Below are 4,873 nucleotides of genomic sequence, written 5' to 3'. Positions count from 1 at the left end.
TGTACAATTTTTTTAAAGATAGCCCTTCTGGTCAGAAAGTGGAGGCAGACTAGATTTGAGCCCACACACCCACCTCAGCTAGGTGTCCTTGCACAGTGCACAACCTGTACAAATATTTATATGTGCCTGAACAAATGACGACTTCAAGGGACATATGTTTTGATGGGAGCAGATAGACAACAACCAAGCAAAATCCAAGATAATTATAAAGGATGATGTGATCAGGAAAAACTACAGGGGAAACACTTTCATAGATAGGATGGTCCGTAAAGTTTCTCTAAGGAGATGGCAATTCAGCTGAGACAAGAAGTCCAAGAAGAAGCCAGCTGTGAAATAAGCAGTGAAAAGTATATGCTGGTAAATGAGAAGAGCCCGGGCAACGGCCTTGGAGCAGGAATGAGTTTGACATCTTTGAGAAACAGAAAGGAGGTTGGGTGTGGCTGTGTAGCAGGACGAGTCGCAGACAAAACTCCTCAGGCACCGGATTAAAGAAGGAAGAGGTTTTTACTTGGCCAGGAGCGTTGGCAGACTCGTGTCTTAAGAGCCGAGCTCCCCGAAAAAGAAATTCCTAGCCCTTTTAAGGGCTTACAACTCTAAGGGGTCCACGTGAAAGGGTCATAATAGATCAAGTAAGCGTGAGGAACGTGACTGGGGGTTACATGCATCAGCTAACAGAACAAAAAGTTTTACAGTTTTACAGTGCTTTCTCATACAGCGCTTTCTCATACAGTGCTTTCTCATTGTATGCTTTCTCATACAATGTCTGGAATGTATAGATAACACCAGTAGTTTTGGTCAGGGGTTATTATTATTATTATTATTATTATTATTTTAACCACCAGGGCCAGGTGTTGGCGCCAAGGTCGTCTAGCTATTTATCTTACTTCTGTTTCTTTCCAACTGTTTGCTTTCTCCCTTTTCTCCTGTCTTATAAACTAGGGGAAGGGGAGGTGGGGGAGAAGCTGGGAAGGACAACAGGAGAAGTGGTGGTCTCATTCCAGCTGGAGTGCCCTGACCAAGTAGAAGAGCAATATGGGATGAAGCTGGAAGTGGGTAAAATTCCCATGTTATGTGGGCTTTGATAAATTGCATGGCCTATGGGACATGAATTTAGAGATGCTCAGTGGGCATGGGTGTGGAATGACAGTGCACACAGTGACTTCACATGCATCAGCTTAAAAATGTCATTGAATCCCTGGGTGAGAATAATACTCCCTAGGGAAATATGGACTGTGGACAGCACCTTCAGGAAGGTTAAACTTCAAGAGGCATGATAGAGGAGTCAGTATAACATCAGAGAGTAAGAGCTCAACCTCTGAACACCAGTGTCTCTGGGTTTGAATCTGTTACTTTCTGTAGAACATGGACAAGTTATTTAACTTTTCTGAGTCATGGGCTCATCATGTAAAACGGAAATTTAAAGTACTGATGTCAAGAAGCCATTCAGAGGATTACACTATAAAATGTATGCAAACTATTACAGTGCCTGGCACTTAGGAGGGGCTCAGTAAATGGCAAACAAGAACTTACACAAACACACACATACACACTCGCATTTTCAAAAAAAAAACTGAAAAGGGATTTTTAAAGAGGAAGAATAAGAGTCTGGATAATAGTGTCACTGAAGCCAATTGAAGAGAGAGTTAAAAGATGAAGATATGGCTAGGCACAGTGGCCCACACCTGCAAGCCTAGCACTTTGCGAGGCTGAGGCAGGAGAATTGCTTGAGCCCAGGAGGTTGAGACTATGAACCCTGAACTCCTGGGCTCAAGAGATCCTCCTGATTCAGATTCCTGAGTATGTGGGACTACAGGCATGCACTGCCACAGCTGGCTAATTTTTCTTTTTTTTTTCTTTTTTTTTTTGTAGATGTGGGGTCTCCCTATCTTGCCCAGTTCATCTCAGGCTGCTGGGCTCAATGGATCCTCCTGCCTCAGCCTCCCAAAGTACTGGGATTATAGGCATGAGCCACCACACCTAGCCTATAGTTTTTAATCCACAAGTTTCTCATAAAGAAAATAAAATGACCATAAATGTAAAGGAACTGAGCTCTTGCAAGGAGTTTTTGAAGCTACTTCTTTGGAGGGTACATTTTTAGTCTGAAACTTTTCTGGAAAAAAAAAAGTAGGAGTTAAACAAAGGGAGTGGGTATCTGTAGTCCAAAGCCAGAGGCACTGTTATCTCTTTCCTTGAGGGTTCAGGGACTAACACAATGACAGAAAAACTCCCTCCCACTTCCGCTCTATTATCATTTTATATCATTTGTTTTGTGACAGAGCCTGTGTTGCAGACACCTTCTATGCCCATGGATAGGAAATTAACAATCCAAGGCCATTTTCAGAATTTTTTGTTCCAGTAACCCTTCTGAATCATACACCTGGCTCTCCAGTATTACCAATCAGCCATTTTAAAAATTATTTAGAGACAAAAGAGGCTGTCGTGGCTCATTGTAGAGTGACCCTGACTTCATCGCCACTCAACAAGTGCTGGAACATAAACAGCACACACATCAGATCAGTTTTATAACTATTCTGGGAAACACATGAGATAGGCCTGAATATGAAAATGAAGTCATTTTCAAGGTCACTGTTTCAATAAAGGAAAACCTAATTGAAGCAAGCTGATTGTAAGTAAGTTCTGACTAATAGCATGGGCCTTCTCTCTCCAACAGGCTGCATATGCCATAAATTATTCACATATGTGGATGAGTTATTCTGATTTTCATGATGAGATCCTGGCTACTGTGCCATGTTCAGCTCATCCTCAATTTATTCTAACAAAAGAGCTCTCTTACCCTGGTTAGGGCACCCTGTCCCCTGGAGAGATTGTTCTCTAATGTAAATAGAAGCCCATCTAGCAAGCTGCCTGGGTTCTCACGTCCCGCTGAGCCCGCTAACGGCACTGCCAGTTTTGACCACCAGGTGGCGCCCGCAGAGCTCCACAGACGCTGCACAGCTGTGAACTCAACTCCAGCCCTCAGGGAAGGCAGCTCGCAAAGACCTAGGGCAGCCCGCCGATTTCCCAAAAAGAGCACTGAGAACCCAGCAAGGTGAGGGCCTAGCCCAAACTACACTGCTAGTTTGGAGGAGACAGAACTATGCCTCCTGATATGGTTTGGCTGTGTCCTCACCCAAATCTCATCTTGAATTGTAGCTCCCAGAATTCCCACGTGTTGCTGGAGGGACCCGGTGGGAGATAATTGAATCATGGGGTCAGTTTCCCCCATACTGTTCTCGTGGTAGTGAATAAGTCTCACGAGATCTGATGGCTTTAGAAGAGGGTTCCCCCTTCCCTTGACTCTGTCTCTCTGGCCTGCCCGCCATGTAAGACGTGCCTTTCATTGTGAGGCCTCCCCAACCACGTGAAACTGTGAGTCCATTAAACCTCTTTTTCTTTATAAATTACCCAGTCTCAGGTATGTCTTTATCAGCAGCGTGAAAACGGACTGATACACCTCCTCACTGTCAAACCCAAGTTCATCCAGCCAAACCAAAGTGGTTTTCAAACCAGAAGCAAAAAACAAGCAACACCACTTTTTTTAGTCAAATTTTATTGATAAAATATACTTTTGTCACTGCCCCCATCCACCCCACCCACGCCCCCACGTCTCAACAAATGAAAATGGAGTCGCCCTGATTGAAAGAATCATTCCTGAGGCATCGCTGAAGAACCATCAGGTTCCTCAGAAGAGTTTGAAAATGATTGATGAGGCTAGGTGCAGCGGCTCACACCTGTAATCCCAGCACTTTGGGAGGCCCAAGGCGGGTGGACTGCTTGAGGCCAGGAGTTTGAGACCAGCCTGGCCAACATGGCCAGTAGAGAAACCCCATCTCTACTAAAAATACAAAAATTAGCTGGGTGCCTGTAATCCCAGCTACTGGGGAGGCTAAGGCAGGAGAATTACTTGAACCTGGGAGGCAGAGGTTGCAGTGAGCCAAGGTCCCACCACTGCACTCCAGCCTGGGCAACAGAGGGAGATTCTGTATCAAAAAAAAATAAAAAATAAAAATAAGAAAGAAGAAGAAAATGATTGATGGAGTGGAATAAACTCTGAGCCGGGAGCCCTCAAACATGCTTGTCGTATTGATATTCTCTCTGTGGTCATAATTCTCTTCCCTGTTGCATTTCCACCTCCTCCACAGCCTCTAAATCTCCCCTGGACTCTGCCAGGGCTCAGACACCTGATGTCCCCCTGACCTCTGAGTTTACGAACCCCAACCTGGATCACAGTTGAACCATGTGGCCACAGTCATGGGAGCACTGGAGATTCTCCAGCCCCTGGCCCTTCTGCCCCACCTCCCTGGCTAATGCCTTACCTTGGCTTCTTCCTGCTGCTGAGTTCTGCCAAAAAAAATAAAATAGTCACTAGTTGGTTCTGTTACAAAATTAATGGTTTCCAGCTTTAGCTGGGCCACTGACACTATGAACACCGCTTTGCAGCTCTAGTGGGTTTCTTTTTCCATGCCTCACAGAGATGACCTGGCCATCCAACCCATTCCTTGCTTCTATCACTGTTAACACAAAACTGAGTCCTCACTGCATGCCAGATATTATTCCAAAAACATCATAGGTACTAACTCCTTTAACCTTCGCAACAGTCCTACAGGGCAGAAAAAAATCCCCATTTTACAAATGAGAATCAGAAGAACAGAGATCAAAGGACTGAGAATGTGAGCCTAGGTCATCTGGCTGTAAAACCTATGTTCTTGGTCACCAGTGCCATGTGGCCTCTGGTGACTGTGCCTGAAGTGCCACTTAGAAAATAGAAGCTCTCTAGTTCTAGATCCCTGAGGAATCGCCACACTGACTTCCACAATGGTTGAACTAGTTTACAGTCCCACCAACAGTGTAAAAGTGTTCCAGCCATCCCATT

This window comes from Homo sapiens, chromosome 18, assembly GCF_000001405.40.
Source record: "Homo sapiens chromosome 18, GRCh38.p14 Primary Assembly".
In the NCBI taxonomy this organism is placed as follows: domain Eukaryota; kingdom Metazoa; phylum Chordata; class Mammalia; order Primates; family Hominidae; genus Homo; species Homo sapiens.
The sequence above is the reverse complement of the archived record's forward strand: the minus strand, read 5'-3'. Positions refer to the sequence as shown.